The sequence below is a fragment of the Homo sapiens genome, chromosome 14, assembly GCF_000001405.40.
Source record: "Homo sapiens chromosome 14, GRCh38.p14 Primary Assembly".
Taxonomy (NCBI): Eukaryota; Metazoa; Chordata; class Mammalia; order Primates; family Hominidae; genus Homo; species Homo sapiens.
In genome coordinates, this window is record NC_000014.9 from 93,946,899 (window position 1) to 93,971,000 (window position 24,102).

Consider the following 24,102-nt stretch of genomic DNA (forward strand, 5'->3'; position numbering starts at 1 on the left):
AGACTCATATCTGCCCCCCAGGATAGAATTCCTGTAGCTGTGACCTTTGGAGCAGGTGAGTACCTGCCGCCTATGAGCTGTGTGACCTTGGGCAAGTCACTCAACCTCTCTGTGTCTTAGCTTCCTCATCTAAACAACAGAGATAATAATATCCACCTCAGTGAGCTGTTAAGCAGATTAAATAAGTTTCTGATGTGAAGTACTGGTAAGCGCTGCATAAGGGTTTGCTGTTATTATTTCAGTTGCTGTTGTTACAGGCATTCACTCCATGTTGCTAACTGCTAAGGGGTTTCCCTCCTTTCCATGGGAAAGGTGATGTCCATTCTGACCTCTCCTGGGCCTCCCTAATCCTGTGGGTGGGACATTCAGGGCAGGCCCACCCCTCCAATCCCCTACTCCCAGTGTGGGCCTCGGGAGAGCTGCCTGGGTGCTGGCGGAGCCTGGGCTGACCTGTAGTTGCCCTTCTTGGAGGCGATGTGCAGCGGGAGCAAGCCGTCCTTGTTGGTCTTGTTGGCGTCGGCACCCTGTGACAGCAGAAACTCCACCACCTCCTCATGCTCATTCTTGCAGGCCTCGTAGAGGGCAGACGCGTTGTCGCTGGCCTGCGTGTTGATGTCAGCACCTGGGGAAGGAGAAGAGATCAGCAAGTGGCCAAGTGACCGGGAAGTTGCTGTCCTCAATGTAACGCCACCGCGTGGTGGGCCTGCTGTGCTAACCACGGTAATGCACGGGACCTTTAACAACGACCCTTAGGAAGGAGGAGTCTACCTGGGGCTACCCCCAGCTTCTTTCAACAACATCAAGACCTAGGGGCCTGGCCAGGCGTGGCTCATGCCTGTAATCCCAGCACTTTGGGAGGCTGAGGCAGGCGGATCACCTGAGGTCAGGAGTTCGAGACCAGCCCGGCCAACATGGTGAAACCCTGTCTTTACTAAAAATACAAAAATTAGCTGGGCATGGTGGTGGGCGCCAGTAATCCCAGCTACTCGGGAGGCTGAGGCAGGAGAATCGCTTGAACCCAGGAGGTGGAGGTTGCAGTGAGCCGAGACTGCACCATTGCACTCCAGCCTGGGCAACAAGAGTGAAACTCCGCCTGGAAAAAAAAAAAAAAAAAAAAAAAGACCCAGGGGCCTGCCAGCCCGAACAGAGGCCTCTGAGAGGCTACAAGCAGCCACGATGATGCTGGTTTTTCCTGAGCACCTACTACGTGCTGAACATCGTGCTTTCCACAGGCTATATCTGAATCCACAGTGGGTGGTCACCTTGTGAGGTCAGTACTGCTCTTATCTCCAGATTACAGATGGGGACAGTGAAGCACAGAACACCTAGACCACTTGCCTCAGACCACCCATTTCATAAAGATGGAGCCAAACTTGAACCCAGATGGTCTGATGGCAGAGGCCATGGTGGATATTCTGATGGTAGAGGCCATGCTCTTAACCCTCACTCCATGTAAGAGGGCCTGGGCTCTGCCCTGAGAGAGGCCTCACAGGTCTAGGAGGGCACAGAGCCCCTAATAAAGGAAAACCCCAATAACATTATTAATTGCAATTTGCTATTAATATTGCTATTATTATTGCTAATGTTACCATGCTATTAATATTGATCCTTACTGCTATCAATAACTTCTAGCTCTTATCACTAGTGCTCCTTGTGCTAGGTATTCCCTGCATGCTTGCTAATTGCTAATTCTCTGCCTTTCACTTCAAGGAATAAGAGAATTACTTTCTGTCTCCTCCCAAGAAAATACTAGGCCAGGTGCAATGGCTCACACTTGTAATCCCAGCACTTTGGGAGGCCAAGGCGGGCAGATCACTTGAGCTCAGGAATTCAAGACTAGCCTGGGTAACCTAATGAGACTCTGTTCTCTACACCTACTGAGTAGCCCCTGGCCGGGCATGGTGGCACATGCCTGTAGTTCCAGCTACTTGGAAGGCTGAGGTGCAAGGATTACTTGAGCCCAGGAGGTTGATATAGGCGGCAGTGAGCCGGGATCACACCACTGCACTCCAGCCTGGACAACAAAGTGAGACCCTGTTCCCAAAACAAAAACAAAACAAAACCCAGAAAACATTAATCCATGCTGCTAGAAGGAGGAATCAGGCCTGGTGACAATCTGCCTTCAGCTCAGTCTTCTACACCTGCTTCATCTCCTCGGGCAGGGGGTGAGGGGGAGAACTGATGTGCACACAGCTTTCTCTGCAGAAAGAGAATTCAGCAGTCCTTCCTTGTTCTGGAAGGACATGGAACTAAGATGCTTGAAGATGTCAGTGGGGCTAAAATCAAAAGCATCTGCTAACCACAGGTCATCTCTCTAAGCATGTTGCTGATCTCAGGCTTTCTGGTAATTTATTATTTTTGATGATGGTGTGACCAGTTTCTGATCCAGCGGAAACAGCACAGGCTTTGGCGACAGATGAGAATCAGCTGAGGCATCTGTTTCATGGCTCACAAGCTCTGCAGTCTCAGAAAGCCTTTAGGAGCCTCGGTTTTCTCATCTGTTGACCAGGGATAATAGTACCTACCCCTCGGGGTTACTGCAGGGAGTAAACAAAATAGTGTAAGCACATCTCTCAGCGCAGTGCCTGCCACAGGGAAGCTGCTCAGCAAATGCCAGTTGCTCAGGATGGAAGGAGCTGGGCAGAGGCCTTCGTCCTGCCTCCGGCCTGAGGGAGAGCCAGTGAGCCGCCCTAACCCTCTGTTGGGCTCTCAGAGGCAGGTGCCCTGGAGAGCCTGGACCCTACCAGCAAAGCCGCCTGCTTGCACAAGAAAAATATTTGGGTTGGAAAATGGACTCAGCCCACAAAGTGAACACACCCTGACTCAGAGTGTCGGTGGGAGACCTGGACAGATGTTTGGAGTTATTGAGGTCACCCTTGCCTGCTGAGCATGCTGTCCGTCACCAGGACCCCCGGCCTGGGCTCCCAGGACCCTGCCTGTGCCCCTTTGTTCTTACGCTGGGCAGTCCAGATTTGTTCCTGGCTGCACGGAAGGGCCTGCACCTATGTTCCCCACTGCTCAGGCGCGTGCTGAGTGCATGGATGCTTACCTGGGCAGAGTCCCGTGCTGCCGACTCTCACAGGGTAGGGTGGCTGGCAGAGCACAAAGCATGTGCAGTTTGGAGTCAGATGGCAGTGGGTCAGCATCCAGGCTTGGACTGTGACCAATTAGTTAACCTCTCTGAACCTCAGTCTCTTCATCTATAAAATGGGACGAGCATACTACCTACCACATGGGGCTACGGGGAAAGCTCCATTGCCCCGATCTGTGTTCACACTTAGCAAGTCCTCAACAGATTCCTACAGTTCAGCCTCAGCGTCTGGATTACCTCTGGCTTCTCTGTTGCTAGAGAGAGGGTTACTTCCCGTGGAGAGAGAAAAGAAATCAAAGGCATTCTTGGGGAAGATCAGGATATAATGTTCTGAAACCAAAAGCAAGTCTGCCATGTCTCGTGGTCTTTTGCTACTGGGCCATCATAATGCAGGCCGTATTGTGTTATTTTCTCCCATTAAGATATTTCACAGGCAAAGAGGGCAAAGAGCTGGGTTCAAGTCCCAGCTCTGCCACTAATTTGCTGTGTGACCTTGGACAAATCACTTTCCCATCCTGGTCCTTGAGTTCATCACCCATAAAAGGGGGAGGTGATCTAAATGTTGCTTGAGGTTCCTTCTGGCCCTGAAGTGTGATGTGGTGGAAAGAGAAGCGGTTGGGGTGTCAGGAGACCAAGAGTCTAGCTAGTTCTACAATTAATTTGCTATAGGACTATAGATAAGTCACTTCCTCACTCTGTGCCTCAGACTCCTCGTTTGTAAAATGAAAATGTTGGACTAGATTATAAATGGCAAATAGGTGGTCCGTGGGCCAGACCCCCCCATATTTGTTCTAATGGCAGATGTCACTAGTGGATCCCGACGCTCTTCCCACTGAGCCTGGACACAGCCTCAGCATCTTTCTCAACACAGCACTCTAGGAGGAAACTCTCACTCCATCAGTGTGCGCACAAGATGACCCCTAACTCGCCTTCCCTTAGAGCTGACCTCTGACATCCTTCCCGTGTGCCCTTTGGGGACTCCATGACCTAGGGACCCTTAGCCACTCACCGTACTTGGCTAAGAACCTCAAGGCCTCCAACTGTCCACTCTGGGCGGCCACGAACAAGGGGGTGATGCCGTAGGCGTTCTTGGATTCCACCTTGGCTCCTCCGCTCACCAGGATCTGCATGACCTCCAGGTCATTGCGAGACACAGACTCGTGCAGAGCGGTCCAGCCGCGGTTGCAGCGGTGGTTGGTGTCTGCATTGTGCTGCACCAGAATCTTCACGGCCTCCGCGTTCTTGCGCTCGCAGGCTGTGCTCAGGGGGAAGCAGGGATGGTCAGCAGGGCCTGGCAGGAACTGGCCAGCAGAGACTGCATTCATTCGCCTGTCCATTCACTCATCCACTCATTCAGCTTTCCACTGCATGTGTATTAAGTTCCAATCCCTGCATTGAACCTGGGATAGGCGACTAAAAGTAATACTGATACTAACATTAGCAAGAATACTTGCTGATTCATATGCCTAGTACTGGTTCTGTGCCAGGCTCTCTGTTCTAAGCACATTTTACAGGATTAACTAATTTAATCCTCCCAAATCCCCTTAAAGGATGTAGTGATGTTATCCCCTTTCACAGATAAGGAAGGTGAGGCACAGAGAGGGTAAGTGGCTTGCCCAAAGTCACACAGATACTAAGTGGCAGAACTGGAATTCAAACCCTGGTAGTCAGGCTGAAGGTCTCTGTCCCCTGGGATGTCCCAGGATGTCCCTATCATTTCCCCTTCCAGTGGTACCTGCTTCAGTCCTCCACATTACCAAGGCTGGAAGAATCTTTCTAGATGAGGAGTCAGCGGTGTCATAATCCTGCTGAACTTCCCCCTGCTCCAGCAAAGGCTACTAATTTAGTTCAGGGTAAAATGCACGTTGTGAGTACAGCTCCTCAAGTCTTTCTTGACCTGCTCTAACCTCCTTTATAAGCCTCATCTCTCTCTAGACCCCAAACGTGCCCTTGGCTCTGGCCCCAGAGTTCTCACCAGGAGCTGCAGGTGGTATTGGAGTCACCTGGGCACTTTTCCAAATTAACCAGCCCTGGAAGCTTCTCTGTGTCCGTGTCAGTGGGAGGAGGAGTGAGGAATGGGTCAGGGAGACTGGCAGCAGGGGGAGGAGGGCTGCCTGTGTACTGTTTCAAATAGAACCATAGGCCAAGCCTTCTACCTCTCTAAGCCTTGACTTTCTCATCTGTAAAATGGAGAGAATAAAACCTTCTTGAGCAGATGCTATGGGAGTGAGACTGTGTGTAAGGCATGAGCATAGTGCTTGGCACATAGTAGGTGTGCTTGCAAGACCAGGGCCAAGCTCTGGCTGTGGGCTGCCCAGCTTCCTGGGCACTCCCTTTGGACAGCTGAGGTTCCAGGTGATAGCCATGGCGCCCTGGCAGGCACGGATTCCAGGGAAGACACTTCCATGGTGGGTCTGCAGCGGATCCAGTGACCTACTACTCAGTTCCTGCTGCCCAAGCTGTTCCAAGCACTGGATAGACACATGGGAAATCAGGGATATCTGTAATTTTTCCAAGTACAAAGGCCTGATCATTTGTAAGACCCCAGCTGATTGCTTCAGCATGTAGGCATGGACAGGATGCTTTAGAATGTAGTAGTTGAGGGCAGTGTGACATCCACCTCCCTGAGTTTAAACCACTGGGGTACCCCTTGCAAGCTGTGTGATCCTGGGCGACCCATTTAATGTCTTGGTGCCTTAGGTCCTCATATGTGAAAGGGGATACCAGCAGTGCCTACTTCATGTGCAGATGGACATGAGGGGTCCATAAGAGAACGGTGCCTGGCACATACTAAACACTCAATCAATGCTAGCTATTGTGATTATTTAGACTTTGACTCTGGGTACTGCTAGGGCAGCCAACAAATGTCCATGGATGATGTACTGAGTAAGCCAGGAGGCCTTGTTTTTCTTAAACAAATGTCCCAGAGGTACATGCTCTCGCATACCTTCATGCCTTTGCCTGTGCGGTTCCCGCTGCTTGGCCAGCAGGTGATTCCTCCTCTGTGGTTCAGCTCAGGCACCCCTCCTCTGGGTGCCCCTCCCCCATGCTCCCACAATGCCTCCTGCCAAGCCCTTTCCTGCTCTCTGTGTGTGGGTGCCTACAGGGCTGGGAGGGTGCACAGGTTGGACTATAGCTTTTCAGCTCCAAGCCCTCAGTGTCCCTCAGCATCCTGGCCCATGGGATGCAGTTGGAAAATGTTGGTAAAATACATGCAGGAATGAATGATTCAGTTACATAAATTGTGCATTTGAGCAGGGCCACGTTGGGGGTTATGCACTTAACGGGAGCAACATTCCCTGTTGCTCACCCAGCTTCTGGATTCTTCCGCAGGAAAGCTCACTCCGGGGTGGGGACCTCACCTTTGTAGAGCGGTGTCTCTCGGGATTTGTTGGAGATGTCCGGCTCTGCCCCTGCTTGGAGCAGTGACAGGAGACAGTCCAGGTGGCCCCTGCACGTTGCCAAGTAAACGGCTGTTTCCTCCTGCAGGGTGCGCTGGTCGATGGTCCCTGGGTACGCTAGGGAGGGCCCACCGGGAAATTCATGTAGGAGAAAGATACTCAGCCCCGCAACACAGAGGCTTTCCCGATTGCCTCCCAATTTCAAGAACAATGTATGACATCCTCTGAAATTTACCAACTACAGACTGCATTCATCTGGCCCTTTCACAGGGCCATTTTAGCTTCCTGGTCGTACACGTCCAAGCTCAGATGCCACGTCCTCTGAGAAGCCTTCCCTAATGGAGCCCCTCCCTCTTCGAATACTCCTGTCCTTTCCTCGAACTCACACCAGCCATTGCTGGAAACCCACTGTTACATGCCATGGTTTCTTGGAGTGTCGGGGGCCGTGTGGGGTCTGTGCTGCTTCAGGGCAGAGGTGACACCTGCCTGCAGGAGTTGCCCTTCTGAACCTGGCTCAGTAGGAAGACAGGGCTCAGAGAGGAGGCACGGCTGTCCCGCGGTCCCACAGCAGGTGGGGGATAGCCTTGGCCGGGCACAGGCACAGCTGCAGTATTTTTCACACCAAATCAGCCCCTGGGACATTCTGGAACAAGTTGGCAGTGGTTCTTCTAAAAGTCAGCCCTCCCTCATTCCTTTTCTAGGAATTAGGCTCTCCTGTCCTTGGAGGCCTGGAGAGGTGGCAGCAGGGGGTGGGGACAACTCATTTCCCCTCTCGTAACTCCATGACTAACTGACAAATGAAAGTGACAGCCTTGCCTGCCCTTCTCCCAAGATGATTGTGGGCAAAGAACATGAAGCCCCAGGAGCGGCAGCCCTTCCCCTAGTCCCTTTCCCACCTCTTGCCACCGTCAGAGCCCAGCCCTCACCTCGCTGCAGGACTTTCAGGCAGCCCACCTGGCCATAGTATGCGGCCTCGTGCAGCGGCAGCCAGCCCTCCTTGTTGGGCTCTGCGAGATTCTTCCCTTCCTTGATCATGGTCTTCAAGGCCTCTTCATCGCCATCCTTGATGGCCTTTATCAAGGGGTCCGCAGGCCTGTGAGAGGAAGGAGTGGGTCAGTCCTCAAGGTCAGGCCAAGGCCAGGCCAGGGGGCCTCTCTCTCAGGAGTGCTGGCAGTGGAGTCACTCGGTCCTCGTCCCTGCTGGTTCCAGGATGAGCACTCAGCCCCCTGCAGCCCAGTGGCTGCAAGAGGACTGGGGGATCCCTCCATCTCTGTGGCTTTCCATGGCTGCCGGGAATGTTATACCAAAACCAATTCTACCAAGAGGATTCAGGCACACAATGCCAGCCTCCTAGAGGGTGGCTAACCACCCACATGTGAGGCACTTGTGATAATTAAATGCTTTCCCTGAGTATAGCACTCTAGCATTTACCAGGCACGCCCATCTCGGGGGCCCCCTCTTAACCCTGAGCATATCTCTGGGGTCTTCCAACTCCTCTCCTTGCCCTGTCGCTTATTCCTACTCCCAGTACATCCAGCTGCAGAAAAAAAATATATACTGGAAGGATTAATAAATTTGAAGCCTTCACAGTTTAAAACTTCTGAATGTCAAAAAGATTTGAGGGCTAAAGTGAAGCCGTTCCTTGCTTGGCTTGTTAAAGTCCCTTTGTTCATTCATTGCTTCCTTCCTTCCTTCATTCATTCACTGAGCTCCCTACCTCATCCTTGGAGAGTCCGTGAGAACCACGATGTCTATGCCTCTCAGATCCACTTTTGGGGAGGCTTCTGCATCAATAGTCCCATTTCCCAGATGGAGAAGGTGAGGCTGGAGGCAGGCCTCATTCCCAGGACACCCACGCCATGTTGGGCTAGGATGGGCTCTGGGCGGTCTCTGCCACCAGCCCCTGCACTCTCCCAGCCACTTCCTCCAGCGTGAGCAGCACTTCCTCCTGACTCTCAGACTCTGTGGTTATTAATGGTGTCAGAGCACAGATGCCGGTGAAGCAACAGACCCAGCAAGGACGATGGGAAACTGATCAGATAAGTCCTGAGGTCCCCATCAGCACCGTCACTGCCACCTTGACGAGTTCCACTTAGGAACAGCCAGAGCAGCCCCTGTCAGCATCAGGAAAAGCCCAGTGGGGGTATGTGCCCCCCTTTTCCTGGAGTGTCTCCAAAGGGACCCCAGCTGAAGTGGAAGGGAGGAGGGCTGGCTTTTCTCGTGGCCTTGGCGAGCAGGGCGTGGTGCAGTGTCGTGAGAACACTTTCAGGACCTGCCGCCCAGCTTGGGTCTCTCCAGCTGTGATGCAAGGACCCTGGAGCCCTCAGCCCACATATTCACAGCTTCTCCATGACCTCAGGCAAAGTCCCCGCCCTATGAGTGGGGGAGGGTTCTGGGGGTGTCAGGCCATCAGAGTAGTAAGCTGGACGGGACCCTAGAGGTCACGTTGCCCTCTCCAGCCGTGTCCTGCAGAGAAGGGAGACTCAGAGGGGACAGCGACTCTCAGGCAGTCATGCAGGAGGTGGCAGTAGCTGAGACCAGCTCTGGGTCTCCCTTTTCCAGATTGTCAACCACTCCACACACCCACCACACCAAGGAAGTGGAGGGCGACAGGATTTGAAAAAGGCTGGGAAGGAGAAAGAAAATATTGGCCAATTGCCTCCTCCCTTCTCTACAACGTAACTGAGTGAGGAAATGCAGTTCCAGTGATAGGGTCCCTCTTTTGCTTTTGGCTGCTTCCGGGGTCACTATTCCAGGGGTACAGAGAGGGGAGGGAGGCAGAATTATTTTCTAAGGAGCGCATTAGCCCTGCCCCCTGGTGCCAGGCAAACAGAGCCCCTGCAGCTTAGATTATTTCTGGATTTTAGCACCTGGCACTTCACAAATAAGGGCAAATAAACAAAACAAAGGCTGTGGGTGTGGGCATTTTGGATGTACCCACAGCGATGGCATGGGGGAAAGTGAGACTGGGACAAACAGAAGGGTGCAGCCAACTCATCAAGTTCAACTCCAAGCTCTCCTGGGCCTCTGGGGTTCTAAGGCCATCTCCCCAATTTCCCTCGTGCTGGGTCCCCAGTTTCAGAGCCCCATGGGGCTCCTCCAGCACTCAGGTCCCATGCTGGGGGCATCTGAGGGGGGGATCACCAGCATGCCTGGCTGGAAGTTCCTTGAGGACTGAAGTCTGTGGCCACCAAGCCCATCTCAGCAGGAGCAGTGGGGCCCCAGGGGGGCACCCCTAGAAGGAGCGTGCCTGGCAGGTGCCTCCATAGTGCCCTCTGCCCTCCTGGGGGCTGTGGGCCTGCTTCCCACCCTCCCTGCCATCCCAGTTAGCGGAGTGAACTTGGATGGTCCTGGGGCCAGACAGGAGTCACTTACGCCAGCTGGGAGGTCTTGAACAAGCTGCTGCTGTATTTCTGCATGACCCCTTGGAACAAGCCCATTGGGGCCCGGGCCGGCGAACTCTCAGGAGGTGCAGTGGACCTGGAGGGTGCAGAGCAGGAGTGAAAGAGGGAAAAGTACTCTGCATAGGAGAAGCGGGTCATGGCTTCAGGCAGGAATGAGGATGGAGGGAGAGCCAGGGAGAGACTGACTGACAGACACAGGGCTCTGAACCAAAGCAGATGGCCGGGTCCTCTGTGTGCTGGACACAGCTGCTGTGTCTCCGGATTATTTTTGGCCCTTGGAGGAAGCCCTGGGAGATTTAAATGACCATATAAGACAACAATGAGGTTAACCTCACCCCACCCCCCGGTCCCCCTCCCCAGCCAACCACGAAAGAGGCAGATAGGAAGCAAGGTGACATTCTTCACCCAGGAGGATGTGAGCCGTGGTCGGCAGGTCCCAGGATGAAAGGGGCTCAGGCTCACTGCTGGCCAGGCAGATCCCTGCGGGGCTGGATGAGAGATTCATGGCAAAGCAGAGGATAGGGGAGCAAAGCTGAGAAGCCAAGCTGTACCTGTGCCCCCCACGCCCACCTGCCAGCTCATTAGGGGATCTTGTCCCAGGGGTAGGAGCAGACACTATAGTAACCTCTATAGTGTTATTATAGGATGCATGAGGAAGGGCGTCGGAACCAGGGCTGCAGTCAGACAGACACAGGTTCACATCTGGGCTCTGGCACTCCTTGGCTGTGTGACGTGAGACAGGTTGACCTTTTCTGTGCCTTAGTCCCCGCTCCTGCAAGGTGGCATGAAAACAGCCTGTGCTCGAGGGCCGGTGAGGCCTGAGTAAGTGAATGGTGTGAGGAGCTTAGTGGAGTGTGAGGCACAGAGGGTGTTCCACATGTACTCACTCTTCATTTTATCATCATTTTGCCTCTCTAGGCCTCAGTTTTCCCGACCCACCAGGCTCCTGTGAGGGTGGAAGAGCCGGAAGGAGGTGGGATGGCCGCTCCACAAATCTGAGTTGGCCTGGGGTTGTCGTGAGAACAGGGTATATGGCCCCTACTGACACCACCCCCAGTAGGTCAGGCCTGGCACTCTCGACACCCCAGTGGCCCGGGCCTTTCACCACACTCTTCTGGGGGGGATTGGGGAGGACTCTGCTACCAGTGACTCACACCCTGTGGGGCATGGGGTAATTATGACCCTGAGAAGCACCCACACTCTTTCTGGCTAGGCCAGAGCCTACAGATTCTGTGGGTACACCCCAGCAAGGCCAGAGCCTGGTAGAGAGGAGCAAGGGTGGCAGGAGGAGGGGAACCTGCTCACCCCTCTGCTTCATGCTCTCAGGGCTGCCTGCAGGCCTGGCTGCCTTCCTCATCCTCGCCGCTGTCACGCCCTCCCACCTGCCTTCTCCCATCCCCTGCTTCTGGCCTTCTACTGACCCGCACTGGGGTGGGCAGGACACCGCCTGCATGTGTCCTCATTTATCCACATCCATCAACCGTAGATGGGGGTGCCTTTTACAGATGAGGACAGGGAGGCTGTGAGAGGGGACTTAACTGTGCAGGGTCACCTTCAGCATGACAGCGAGTGGAGCAGAGGTTCAGACTACCACTGTCCGCCCAGCTCCTGATGCCACCCTGTCCTCTGAAGGCCTGGCCTCTTCCTGCCTTTTCGTCCTCTCTCCAGCTCTCCGACCTCCACACTGACTGTCCCTGTGACTTTGGACAAGCCCCATCCCCGCTCTGTGCCTCAGTTTCCTTATTTGCAAAATGGAGAAGTGGGACCAGGACCAGACTGGGGATGTCCACACTGTTTCTGTAGCTGTGGAGAGATTCAGTGTCCAACAGATCCCAGAGCCAAGGCCCCTCCTCAGCCCTGACAGCTGCTGGGTTCAGTGTCCTTTGCATTAGTGCCTGGTCCTGAGAAGGAGAGACAGCCGGCAGGTGGAGGCAGCCTGGGGCCAGGCTCACCTCAGCTGTCTCCAGCCCTGTCGTCTTGATGAGGCCCTGGGCTTCCACCTCCCAGGATCCTTGGGTCACGGCCACCCTCATACTTAGTGCATGTGTGGCCTCCAGTTACCTGCCATTGTTAGAATGTTTTTAGCAGGATAATAAAGCACTGGGAAAAAGCCCACTGCACCATCTAAACGAGGACCTGTCTCTGCATAGTAATGGCAGCAGCAATGGTGGCCGGGATGTTGAGGTTGATGGAGGTGGAGGGAGCTGGTGATGATGACAGTTTCTAACAACTGTGCAGGGCAAATGTTCACAAAGTCATGCCGAGCCTCTCCTCATTTCCATTCTCCTGCCACCATTGATGGAAGCAGCGGGTGTGCTGTTCCCATTTTGCAGATGAGGAAACAGACAGACTGAGTTCCATTCAACAAAGAGTTCCCAGCTCTGGCTCAGTCCCAGGCCCACTCTGGGTGGTGATGCAGCTCATTAAAATTTATCTTTTTGTGGATCCTGAGGATATTTGGAAGTCAGCAGAGAGGGAGACAAGGCCACACACAGCCACAGAGTCACAGAGGACGGGCTGAGATCGGGGCAGAAGGGCTCATTCTGGGAGCACTGAGATCCGAGTGCATCCACTGGCTTTGGGGCTGGCAACTGGGCAAGGCGACCGCTCAGAGTTACTGAGTCGTGAGTCTCAGGGCTGGCTGGGGAGCCAGGGCCCCTGGCTGGGTTTCGTGCTCTCGCCAATCAAGGCTGGAGGCCCCATTTCCCCTCGGGCCCCAAGCAGGGGAATTCCCAACAGAGCAAACCTCCTGGGCTGAGTCATCACAGGCGAGAGGAGCCTGGCCTCGGCAGGATGTGGGTGTAGGTCATGCCCTGGAAGAGCCCCAGGTAGGGCCTCTGTCCTTTGTGTGTCACTGGGCAGGTTCTGGGGTGGAGAATGTGTCACCGTCACCTGACCCTGGAGTCCAGCTTGTCATGAATTCAGGCACGGTCAGCCTCAGTGAGAGCAGAGAATGGGCTGGCAGGACAGTGCTCCTAGCCTCTCGGTGAGTCAATGGATGGCTGCTCTGTCTGAGTTAGTAAGAAGCCCAGGTCAGCCCCAGGGAGGCAGTGATTGGGCTGGGCCTGGCTGAATGCAGGGGGCAGGTAGGCACCTTAATAGAGGAGGGAGCTAACAAAATCGATTCCGCCCCACGCCCGCCAACATGTCACCAGTCCACCCCACACCCGCCACTGTGCCATGAGTCTACCCCACGCCCACCCCATGCCACGAGTCCACCCCACGCCCACCACTGTGCCGTGAGACACATGTGACTCATTGAGCACTTGTTATAACAGGCACATTGCACCAAGCATCTCATTTAATTCCCCAGTCCACTTGGTGAAGGAGATGTAATTGGCTTCCTTTGCAAATGAGAGAACTGAGGCTCAAAGAGGCTTGCTTCCTCTAGTCTGCTTGATGAACTCCTATTCATCCTGCAAAGCCTACTTCCTTGACTAAGTGAATTGACCTTTTCCAGGGTCCCTCTGTAACTGAGGAAGCTGTGCTCTCCCTGCTGTGTCATCAGGTAGTTCTGGGCCTTCACCCTCATTAGACTGTGATCTTAGGGAGAGCAGGACCCAGCCCTGATTCACAACCTGGCATATCATAAGTGCAGAGTAAGTGTGGGTGGCTTGATTTGAATTGTTTGAAGCTGTGCACACAACAGCCTCAGCCAGTTCCTGCTTCATGTTTTCCTCCTTTGTCTTCTCAGAAATGTATCTTAAATGAAATGCAGAGGTTTAAAGATTAGGAAGACCCAGCCTCCTGGACTCACTCTGGCTGGTCCATTCATGGAAACCTTGGGCTCTGCACTTCATGGGTTCATGGACCCCACTTCTCCATGGAACAGGAAGCTAGGTCTGTCCCTTTGGGGTCCCTTAGGGGACCAAAGCTTGGCAAATGATCCTCATTTGATCCTCATCAAATTCTGTGCCTTACGTTGAGGTGAGACAGAAGCAAATTGGGAAATGGTTTTTAACAGAATTCTGTTTTCTTTGGGATACTGATCTTTCATTTCTAAGATCCAGAAGACTCAGTGGACTCCATTTTGGTCACAATATAATAATGATCAATTGCATTGCTAGAGCTTTTTATTGGTTTCAAAGGTATTTATTTGTTTAAAAACATTTATTAGGTAGCTACAATGATCCAGGCTCTAAGCTGGGCACTGGAGATAAATAAATAAATAAATAAATAAATAAATAAATAAACAGTATCAGCTCAGCTCTCTGTCCCCTAGGAGGTCACAGTCTAGTTGGGAACACTCTCAGGAGGGTGTCCCAGGAAGACCCAAGAAGCTTGTCTGTGAAGCAGAGGCCATCATGAGATTGGTGCTGGAGCACTCAGACAGGGCCGGGGAGGTCAATACGAGCTGCAAGATGTGGGAAGGCTCCAACGCCCACCTCATCTTATTTGCTTTTCACAGGAATACTGCAAGGGGAGCACAGCATGTTTTTGTTGTTGCTGTTATAAAGATGAGGCCACTGGGGCTCAGATAGGGTTAGCCACCCACCTAAGGTTGCACAGCCAGTAAGTGTAGAGGAAGAATTTGAATCTCTAGACCTACTTCTCTTTCCACTCTGCTGCCTTTCCATCTATTCCTTTATTCACCCATTCACTCATTCACAGATAGCCATGTGGTGCCTGCCACAGGTCAGACACAGCGCTTCACTGGAGGCGTAGGTTAATGGCAGAAGCAGAGAAATAAATAAGAATTGTAAGTCAAGGTGAAGGCCACAGAGGAAACAGCCATGAGAGCAAGTAAGAGGTGAAAAACCAGCTGGCCCGGGAGAGTGGTCAGGGCAGGACTGGCTGAGGAGGTGATGCTTAATCTCAGACCTGAAGATGAGAAGGAGCTGCTATGTGGATTGCCTGGGGACAAGGGTGACATCCTATTGCTAAACTTGCTGTGAATTTATTTGGACAGATAAAAGTGAACAAGGACTGTCTCGGGTCCTGCATCCACTGTAATGCGTGTCTGGGTGTGAGGGCACAAGTGCGTGTGTGCCGTGTGAATTTGGGGACCCTGGGCCTCTGTGAGTGGGAGACGGACGTAATGAGGTCAAAACTTCACCTCAAGGTGGGGTAGGGGAAGGAAACAGAGGCCTTCACAGCATCAGCAGAGCCTGGTGAAGTGTCTGAACTTCAGAGCGGGACAGACTTTGGTTCCATGCCTGGCCCTGCTGTGGGCATGTTTTGTCGTCTGTAAAATGGGCACAGAAGCAATCCACTTTGGGTGGCTTTTGTAAACATTAAGTGAATTAATGTGTGGCAGGCACATGGGAGGTGCTCAATGTGCATTTGGGGGGAGAAGAATTTCATTAAACATTCTTTTTTTTTTTTTTTTTTTTTTTTTGAGATGGAGTCTCGCTCTGTCGCCCAGGCTGGAGTGCAGTGGCGGGATCTCGGCTCACTGCAAGCTCCGCCTCCCGGGTTCACACCATTCTCCTGCCTCAGCTTCCCAAGTAGCTGGGACTACAGGCGCCCGCCACTACGCCCGGCTAATTTTTTGTATTTTTAGTAGAGACGGGGTTTCACCGTTTTAGCCGGGATGGTCTCGATCTCCCGACCTCGTGATCCGCCTAAACATTCTATCTAAGGGGTTTTTCTTCCCAGCAGGGCCCAAGCCCAGCCTCCTTCCAGAGGCGAAGGCGCAGAACCGAACCTAGGAGGTTTCAGGTCACTCCTAGAGTAACAAGATGCAGGTTGACCCTCCTCTGCTATATTGCTTGTGGGGCTGGACCTCAGATGAGGGCTGCTCGACCTGGGAGAAATGGTCTCAATTCTCTAGGAGAGCTTTTTCCGCAGGAAGCTGAATAAATGTTCATGGCCCACTGTGGGCCTCCATTTCCTTACCCTCCAGATGAAGGCAGAGTCAGGGTCTGGATGCCGAGGGCCCACTTCTTTCTAATGTGTCCAAGCATCCCTGGGACTCCTGAGGGGGCTCCTATGCTGGGGAGAAGGCTGCAGACACCTGAGGGGACGTGCTGGCTTCATGCAGCAGGCCCTGTCTTCAGAGGAAGGATGCCCTATCTCTATCTGACCCCCTCCTGAGGAAGAGGAACTTGTGGCCTGTCTTCCGCTGAACCGGCCAGAACAGGAACCAGGGCCACCTTGAGCATGAGCCAAGATGAACCCAGTCCTTGGCTTCAGGTTTCTGTTTCTCAGATTGGGTTTCAGAATGGAACGTCCTCGGGGGCAGCTTAGTAACCTGGAGTCTTCGTACTCTTTCCGGCTGCCCAAAGTAGCTGCCTGCCTTCCCCTTTAAAAGGGGCTCCTCAGCTCTGGGCCTCTGCCCAGCCAGCCTGACAGAGATGGTCCAGCCTCGGCAAGGGCAAAGTCACTTAGGGGACAGGGCTGAGATGCACCATCACCCACCTTCATCCCCTGTCAACTGTGACTGCACATCGGAAAAAGTCTGTTTGTTGTTGTTGTTATTTGAGAAGGAAGCTGAGGTTTTCAGAGGTTAAGTGACTTGCCTGAGGTCACGCAGGGAGCCAGCTGGCTGCTGTACACAATGAGATTTGTGGCCTATGCCTCAAAGTAACACCAACACAATTGTCACAGCAATTCCCATGCCCTGCCATTCATGCCCAAACACACTTGACCTTGGCTGGGGACGGGGGTGAGGAGCAAAAGCAATTTTATGGCTTATAGAGGTCTTTTCCAAATGCATTTTGAGATCAATCACCGCTCTGCTTAATCACCTCTCTAGCTCCCACCTCCTACAAAGGAGGTGTCGTCTAGATCTGCACCGTCTGATAAGGTAGTCATTGGCCACATGTGCTAGGGAGCGCTTGAAACGTGGCCAGTCTGAATCAAGATGGGCTGTGAGTGTAAAATACACACTGGATTTCAAAGACTTGATGGGCAAAAAGAAATGGTAACAATCTGATTCATAATTTTATATTGATGGAAATATAAGTCTCTTGGTGGAAATGGTGATACTTCAGATGTGAACTATCAATGAAAATTAATTTCACCTGTTTCTCTTTACTTTTTTGGCTGTTGGAACCTTTAAAATTGCATCCGTGCATTGCAGTTGTGGGTGGTGTCATATCTGGATGGCGCTGCTTTAGAAAGTCCTGTGACTGAGAGGATGAGGTGGGGCTGAGAGTGGGGAGCCAGAAGAAGGAGACAGGATGGCTCTGCTGGGCAGACATCCCTTGCTCACCAGATATGTTTTTCAAGGGAGGCTGTGTTGTAAGATAGGGAGCCAGGCAGCTCTGATCTCGGCAGCATTATCTACTGGCTATGTGACCTCGGGCCTCTTTTTCAGCCCTGAGCTTCAGTCTCCTCTTTTAAATGGGTCTATAACCCAGAGCCCACTGAGAGGGTCCTTAAGCGGATGAAAGGAGGCAGAGTGTGTATAGCACCCACTTCAGTACCTGGCACAGCCAGAGCTTGGTAAGTTCAGATAACAAATGTAAATGGGAAAGGTGTGAAAAGCAACCTAGAGACCAGGATACCGTGGTTTTGGATTAACAGCATTAGGGATCTACAGTCTGTGGATGTCCTGGATGGCCCCACTTCCCTCATCAGCCTCGCCTTGCTCACCTGGTCCATGGGTAGAAATGGGCAGGTTGGCGGTTGGTACATGCAGACGCGGTGGCCTCAGCAGTGGTTGGGCCCCTTGTCTTGTCCGCTAGGCTCTGCTCGATGGCCATCTGCACCAGTTCATCCTCGCTCAGGCTGCTGTACAGGCTGTACTCCTCCTGCCCAATGGTACACTGGCTGCCCCGAGTGCTGATCTGCGTGGCCATCCTCCTCCACCTCTCACCCTGGCCTCCAGAACAGACACCCAGTGGGGAGGAGGGAACAGCAAATCAGAAAACCCTGTGAGGAAACCAAAACCATCCTGGTCACGAACAGTTTTGCAGGATAGCTATATTTACCCTCAGGGAAGGGTATGCATTTCACTGACAGTAACACATTCATTTCTAAATTTATTCATTGGTCACATGACCCACCTAACCACCTATCCATCTATATATCCATCCATCCATCCACTCATCTATTCATTTACCCACCAGCCCATCTCACCATCCATCCATTTATGCATCCTCCCATACATCCATCTACCCACCGAGCTATATATTATCTACCTTCCCATCCATCCACCCCTCTATACATATATTCAACTATCCAACTACCCACTCAACCACCCTCCATCTATCCTCCTATCCATCCATCTGTCTACTCATCTGACCATTTATCTGTCTATTCTCTCAGCACTACTCATCATTCATCCATCCATTCATCTTTCTATCCGTCCAACCATCCATCCAACTGTCCTCCCATCCCTCCATTATCCTATCTGTCCACCCAGCCATCCATTTATTCATGCATCATCACATCCACCCACCATACATCCATCTATCCAATCATCCACTCATCCATTGTTTATTTTTCCATTCCAGATAACCTATCTATCCATGTATTTATGCTCACTTGTTGAGCACCCACTCTGTGTCAGGCACTCTTCTAAGCACTGAGGATACAACGATGATTCCAACAGACAAAAATCCTTGCCCTCATGGAGCTTACACAGGATTGCATACCAGTTACCAAGAGCATAGATCCTGGCATTTCTCCATTTCTTTGCACTGTGATGGGCCTGAGAATACCAGAGATGAATCAGACACAGACCCATTACTTCAAATCACATGATCTAGTTAAAATCAGTCATTAAAATAACGTCCCATGTTAATTCCAGTGACTCTTTTCTTAAAAATGCCTCAAAGAGTAATAGACTCCAGTTGGGTGCCAATGCTTTAAGAATATGAAGTGGAATCAACTAAGCTTGATTTTCATTCTGGCTGGCTGACTCACACTGTGTGGGTCAATGGTTCTTGGTCCTGGCTGAACATTGAATCACATGGCCCTCTAAAAAATACCCCGAATACCAGTGCATTACTTTGATTTGTTCAGCAAATATTCACTCCCTTTCCCTAAAGGCAGATCTTTCCCCACCCTTCCCTGTTGATATGGGTCTCAATATGCATGACTTGCCCTGGCCTGTGAGGGCTGATGGACATGCGTCAAGGATACACATGACAAGTATGTACACTGGGGTTTGCTCTTGCTCCTCTGCCATCACCAAGAGAAGAGCTTCCCACTGGAGCTTGCTGCCCCTCAGCCTAGGCCCCAGAGAGAACACACCCGGGCACCTGAGCCCAACCTCCTCAGAGGAGCCTTCTCCTTCTTCAAGGCCCAGGGCAAGTGCCCCTCTTCTGGGAAGCCGACCCAGATCCTTCTGGGAAGAGGAACTTCTCCTGAGCTGTGGTCAGTAGTTCATGGGTGGACTTGACCCTGGATCCTCTTTCCAAGGCCAGCACCTTATGTGAGGAGGTCAAAGTTCACTGCATGGCTGGCCAAACAGCTCCATTTTCATAGGGTGTGGCAGATCCTGCGGATAGTCCCCTCAATGGCCATTTCCCCCATCTTCCCTGATAGCAGAACCTGGCTTTGTCTAGGCAACAGGGTGCCCTGTCCCATGGATGAGTCATGACTGCTTCAAGCCAGGTGGGACAATCTCACCGCCTCAGCTGGTGACAAGTCCAGGGGTGGGACTGTAGCCTAGTTTTATCCAAAGAGTTATAACAGAAAATCTGCTGGGGTGCTCCTATGGAAGACTTTCCTTTCTAATAAAAGAGAGAGTAGTGAACAAAATGATTCCTTTCCCCAACCTCTGCTTAGTGCTTGGAGGACTTGATGCTTGGAGTGGCAGCAGCCATCTTGTGACCATGAGGGGGACAGTGAATGACAGGTTGATACAATGAGTTTGGCATAATGAATAATAGTTTTTCTGGGTCCTTCATTATGTTGCAGAACTGCTGAACCAATGCTGGGTCCGCCCACCCTAGCCTACTTGTTAGGTACTGAAGATTCTTGTGGTTTAGCCAATGTTAGTTGGGTTTTCTCTTATAGGCAGTCAAATCATCTTAACGAATGTCTCTCAGGCCTGGCTGAGAGTCTTGAAAACATGTCAAGGACCTGGTTCAGCCCTGAATCAATGAACTCAAAGCCTCAGGGCTGGGACCCAGGGAATGCAATGCTAGAGGCTTCTCTGGTGATGTTAGTGTGTGGCCAGAGTTGAGAACCCCTGCTCAATGAGATTAATATGTCAGGTGGCCAGTCTGTGGTCCACACTAGAGGAGGGGAAGGGTCATGACCTCACAATCATTTTATGCCCGATGCTTGGAGTGCTGTTATTTACAGCAGTAGCAGCAGTTTTATTTATTGTGAAAGGAGCCCAGGACAGGGAACCAAGGGACTTGGGTTTCTGTCCCAAGTCAGCCATGAGCGCCTCTCTTCCTCTCTTGTGTCCTCAGTTTTTCCATCTGTTAAATGGCAGGGTAGACTAGAGCCTGTCCTCTGGCCCTTGTACTGGCAGGAGGTACCTGTGCAGCTGGGTGGAGCCCCCATCTCCAGCTGGCCCAGGCCTGGCTTCCCACTCCTTTGTTGCTTCTCTGAGGCTGGGGTCCCTGCCAGGTCTGAGTTGGCCCAGGTCTGCCTTCAGTGGCGGGGGGAAGGGGCTCTGCCCAGTGAGGTATGACACCCTTCTCTTCTCTAAAGCTGGTCTGGCTTTACATACCCCACCGCCTGGTGCAAGGTAGGGGCTCAGTGCACATGGTGCTGAACTAGCAGGAAGTGCTGGTGCCCAGGACCTGGCCTGGCATCCTGGTGCCACCATCTAAAGGTGTCTGCTCAAAGCCAGGGCACAAGGGGGAAGAGCACTGCACTAAGAGTCATAGGCTGAGCTATAATTGCCCTGCTAAGGCCAAAGTGCTTTGTGACCTCAGCTAAGTCCCTGTCCTACTCTGGGCCTCAGTTTCCTCATTGCAAAAGGACGATTTGGGGCTGGAAGTTTTCCGCAGATTTTTCAGTTCTAAAGAGTCTGCAACTCAGCGAGACGTTTGGTTTGGCTCTGTGCTATTAAACCTCAAATTCTCTGTCCCTGGGGATCCCCTATGGCCGTGTCGACAAAAAGAGGTTAGTATTGGCCATGGGGGAACAGAAAACCCGGGGGGAGTGGAGGGATCTTGAGTCTGGAGGTCAGGACCCCTAAGTCTACTTTCAATTCTGCAACTTACTAGCTATATGACCTGGGGCAGGTCACTTCCCCTTTTCTGGGCCTCAGTTCCTTTATTAATAAAAATGGGAAGGAGATAAGCTACTTCGCTATGCTGTAGAAGCATATGTGAGCTAAGATGTGTAGGCAGCTTGTAAGGGGTAACATGATTATTTCGTGGGGACCCCTCATCATCTCCAGGCAGCTGCTGGCCCTGCAGCCTGGTATGGGCCAGAGACTCATAGACAGCACATGGCTGCAGTGGCCCTTCCCTGACCATGTGCCTTCCTGGAGGCGAAGGCAGCCAGGTAATGGTCACCCAGAATCACCAATCCCGAAGCTAATTCCAGACTTACCAGGCCCTTCCCAAGCCTCTCCCATGGGTTGACACCACTCAGAGACTTTACATTGGCCAATTATCCATGTCATTACCTCACACAGCCCTGGAAGGTAGGAAGATTTTCACTGAATTAACTTAATTCCTCTACAGCCCCTCTCCTTCCAAAAGGACCCTGATGCGCATACGTTATTGGTCCCATTCTACAGATGAGGCAGGTAAGGTTTAGAGCGGGAGGGGAAGGGTTTATAGGAGGAGAGACATATAGAAAGCTGGGATTTGAAGCCTGATCTTCCAACCTCAAATCCAATGCTCTTTCTGGCAATTCCAGGAACACTGACCCAAGCAACTGACACACACATGGGTTTGGAGCAGATCTGTCCTCATCCAGCTGCAGCCAGCTATCCTCCCAGCTGCCCAGCACCCCCTGGCCTATATCTGTGCCCTGGGCACCATACCAGCCTCTTTGCCTGCTGCATGGAGGGTACACGCAGAGGGAGGAGAAGGGTTTAACCTTGACAGGACCTTGAGAAAGTCTACTCCTTGGACTACCTGCTAGAGGCCTGTCTCCCTAGAAAGTCTGGAAACTTCTGAGGAGCAGGACTATGTCATACTCGTAACCCCAGGACCTAACCCAAGGCTGGGTACACAAAAGGTATTTAATAAATGCTAGATGGACAGGTGAATGATAGGACCACAACAGTGCTCAAACCCTTGGAAGCACAGCTGTTATGGAGTTTACTTGAGAGAGAGGGACTCTGCCTTTGAAGAGGCAAATTTCCTACCCCACTGTGGACCCACATATCTCTTGCTTTTCCCACTGAGGTCCTCAGCCTTCAAGGGTTCTTGGGTAAGTTACCCACCTTTATGGGTAAAATGGATAAAATGCACAAAATGGAGATATTAGCCAGTGTTATTATGGGGTTGGTGGTAGAGTCAAAAGGGTTCATGTGTGTACAGGCTCAGCTGTGGGTCTGGCTGTTAGTAAGTGTGCAATGCACGGGCCGCTTCAGGACAGGAAACTCCCTGTCCCTGAACGGATGCAGTCGTAGGCTGGTGACAGCTGTCAGGGATGCTATGGCGGCGTCTCCTGGGGGACAGGTGGTGCTGCTCAGCCCTGGCACGAGGGGGAAGTTATGAAGCAGCGTGTGGAGCCAGCCTGACTGAGTTCACATCCCAGCTTTGCTGGTTGTTAGCCGGGAGAGCCTCTGGAATAGTAGTTTCTCCATCTGTAAAATGGACAAGGTCAGAGCACCTATCTCTTGGGAGAGGGCATTGATTCGGGTGATGCCTTGCCCCTCTTTGGACCTCAGTTTCCCCTTGTCATGAAGATGCTGCCCAGCTTGATTTCTGAGACCTCTGTCTGGGGGTTGGGCGGCCTTCTGGGCCTAAGTCTTGGAGGGAGGCCAGCAGCCTCAAGGGACACTCTGGGAGGCTGATTGGAATCAAAAATAGCCCTTTCCCAAGGAAAGCAGGAGTCTAATAGGCCTTGCCCAGCCATCAGGGAGGCTTCCTGGTAGAGGGAGGGGCCAGTCCAAGGCCAGTGTGGAGCAAGGGAGGCCTGGCCCCGCAGGGCCTTCAGGAGTGCCTCTCCTGCCCTCTTTGCAGAACCCCAAACATTGGTTCTTGAGAAGCCCCATCTTTCCCCAGGTGACATCTGTAAAGTGGCTGTGACAGGGTTACTTAGGTTAATCCACGTAAATTACTCAGGCAAATCCACTCAGAGCAGTACCTGGTTCATTCACAGCCGGCTCTCTTCTAAGTTGGGCCTTAGTCTCCACATCTGTGAAATGGGAAAAGAGACATGGACCCTGGCAGGGTTATAGTGAGGACCAAAATTGCATTTAAAAAGTGGTCTTTTCCTCCTAGTACCTTCCCCTCTCTACCAACCCAGGTTTGCAGACAGCCAGGGTCTGCCCGGGAACTGGCGGTGGATGGGGTGGGTCTATGTGGTTGTTTGAGGGGCTGGGGTGGGAGGTGGTCACTCTCCAGATGTCTTAGCAGAAAACTGGGGGCTAGAGGAGACACAGCTGGGAAGGCGGGGCCAAGAAGGAGGCTGGCAGCCATCCTCCACCACACCAAGCTCCACCAGAGGCTTGGGTCATGCCAGGGACTTGGGTCGGACATGTGAGGCTGCACAAGCCACTTAGCATCCTTGGCTGTGTTTGTGGATGGAGCTGCTCGTCAGCCTACCCTGCCCTGAAGGTGCCCTTCCAGAAACAGCTCCAGCATCTCCTCTACCAGGAAGCCTCCCTGATGGCTGAGAGTCCTCTGCTGCCTCCAAGGGCCCCCTTCACATTCTACTGCTTGGACTGCCTGCTATGGTCCTGTCTCTCTAGAAAGTCTAGAAACTTCTGAGGAGCAGGACTATGTCGCACTCATGTTGTAACCCCAGGAACTAACCCAAAGTCAGGTACACAATAGGTATTGAATAAATGCTGGACAGACGGGTGAATGAACGATAGGATCATGACAGTGCTTCAAGCCCTTGGAAGCACAGCTGTTATGGAGAAGTTTACTGCACAGTGGTAGACGGTGGCACGGCCCGAGTGCCCCACTGCCTATACTCAACCCTAGCTCTGCCACCTCCTGGCCACGTGATGTGAAGCAGGTTACTCGGTGCCTCACTTTGCTCATCTATAAAATGAAGATATTAATGGCATCCTGCCTGTGGAGGTGTTGTCAGGTGAAATTAGGTGACAGGTATAAATGTGGAGCACCTGGCACACAGCCGGTGGCCCCTAAAAATCTGCTCGTGTTATTCCACAGGTCCCAAGATGCTGCGATTCTCTGCCGTGATCCCAGAAAGTGGG

The 24,102-nt window shown here is 52.3% G+C and overlaps 1 protein-coding gene and 1 non-coding gene across 8 annotated transcripts in view, besides 6 other annotated features; both read right to left on the bottom strand.

Annotated features, from left to right (window-relative positions):
• ASB2 (ankyrin repeat and SOCS box containing 2) overlaps positions 1–24,102 on the bottom strand; it is a 42,405-nt gene that overhangs the window by 12,733 nt on the left and 5,570 nt on the right. Inside the window, exons 2-8 of one of the 7 annotated variants that reach the window (XM_005267758.4) lie at positions 23,022–23,072; positions 17,436–17,714; positions 9,868–9,972; positions 7,419–7,585; positions 6,454–6,609; positions 4,101–4,346; positions 451–622 (exon numbers count right to left, since the gene is read on the bottom strand). In XM_005267758.4, the coding sequence (XP_005267815.1) occupies positions 451–622; positions 4,101–4,346; positions 6,454–6,609; positions 7,419–7,585; positions 9,868–9,972; positions 17,436–17,641 (1,052 nt within the window). In that variant the 5' untranslated portion in view covers positions 17,642–17,714; positions 23,022–23,072. Of the gene's footprint in view, positions 1–450; positions 623–4,100; positions 4,347–6,453; positions 6,610–7,418; positions 7,586–8,209; positions 8,385–9,867; positions 10,150–17,435; positions 17,715–23,021; positions 23,073–24,102 lie in introns of those variants that run through there. The other 6 variants (NM_001202429.2, XM_017021369.3, XM_011536834.4 and 3 more) reach the window with 6 other exon arrangements.
• Positions 1,328–1,404, bottom strand: MIR4506 (microRNA 4506). Its single transcript, NR_039728.1, has one exon. It is a non-coding gene; the product is annotated as a microRNA 4506 (primary transcript).
• Positions 7,000–7,977: an enhancer, noted in NCBI's record as "H3K4me1 hESC enhancer chr14:94420244-94421221 (GRCh37/hg19 assembly coordinates)". NCBI's record gives its function as "activates a minimal SCP1, AML or CMV promoter by ChIP-STARR-seq in primed H9 embryonic stem cells {active_cell/tissue: H9 hESC(primed)}" and the evidence as "EXISTENCE:reporter gene assay evidence [ECO:0000049][PMID:30033119]".
• Positions 8,088–8,794: an enhancer, noted in NCBI's record as "H3K4me1 hESC enhancer chr14:94421332-94422038 (GRCh37/hg19 assembly coordinates)". NCBI's record gives its function as "activates a minimal SCP1, AML or CMV promoter by ChIP-STARR-seq in naive and primed H9 embryonic stem cells {active_cell/tissue: H9 hESC(naive and primed)}" and the evidence as "EXISTENCE:reporter gene assay evidence [ECO:0000049][PMID:30033119]".
• Positions 8,795–9,499: an enhancer, noted in NCBI's record as "H3K4me1 hESC enhancer chr14:94422039-94422743 (GRCh37/hg19 assembly coordinates)". NCBI's record gives its function as "activates a minimal SCP1, AML or CMV promoter by ChIP-STARR-seq in naive H9 embryonic stem cells {active_cell/tissue: H9 hESC(naive)}" and the evidence as "EXISTENCE:reporter gene assay evidence [ECO:0000049][PMID:30033119]".
• Positions 12,167–13,366: an enhancer, noted in NCBI's record as "P300/CBP strongly-dependent group 1 enhancer chr14:94425411-94426610 (GRCh37/hg19 assembly coordinates)". NCBI's record gives its function as "activates an origin of replication core promoter dependent on BRD2, BRD4, P300/CBP, MED14 and CDK7 cofactors, with strong dependence on P300/CBP, by STARR-seq in HCT116 cells {active_cell/tissue: HCT116}" and the evidence as "EXISTENCE:reporter gene assay evidence [ECO:0000049][PMID:35650434]".
• Positions 15,584–16,084: an enhancer, noted in NCBI's record as "H3K4me1 hESC enhancer chr14:94428828-94429328 (GRCh37/hg19 assembly coordinates)". NCBI's record gives its function as "activates a minimal SCP1, AML or CMV promoter by ChIP-STARR-seq in primed H9 embryonic stem cells {active_cell/tissue: H9 hESC(primed)}" and the evidence as "EXISTENCE:reporter gene assay evidence [ECO:0000049][PMID:30033119]".
• Positions 16,085–16,585: an enhancer, noted in NCBI's record as "H3K4me1 hESC enhancer chr14:94429329-94429829 (GRCh37/hg19 assembly coordinates)". NCBI's record gives its function as "activates a minimal SCP1, AML or CMV promoter by ChIP-STARR-seq in primed H9 embryonic stem cells {active_cell/tissue: H9 hESC(primed)}" and the evidence as "EXISTENCE:reporter gene assay evidence [ECO:0000049][PMID:30033119]".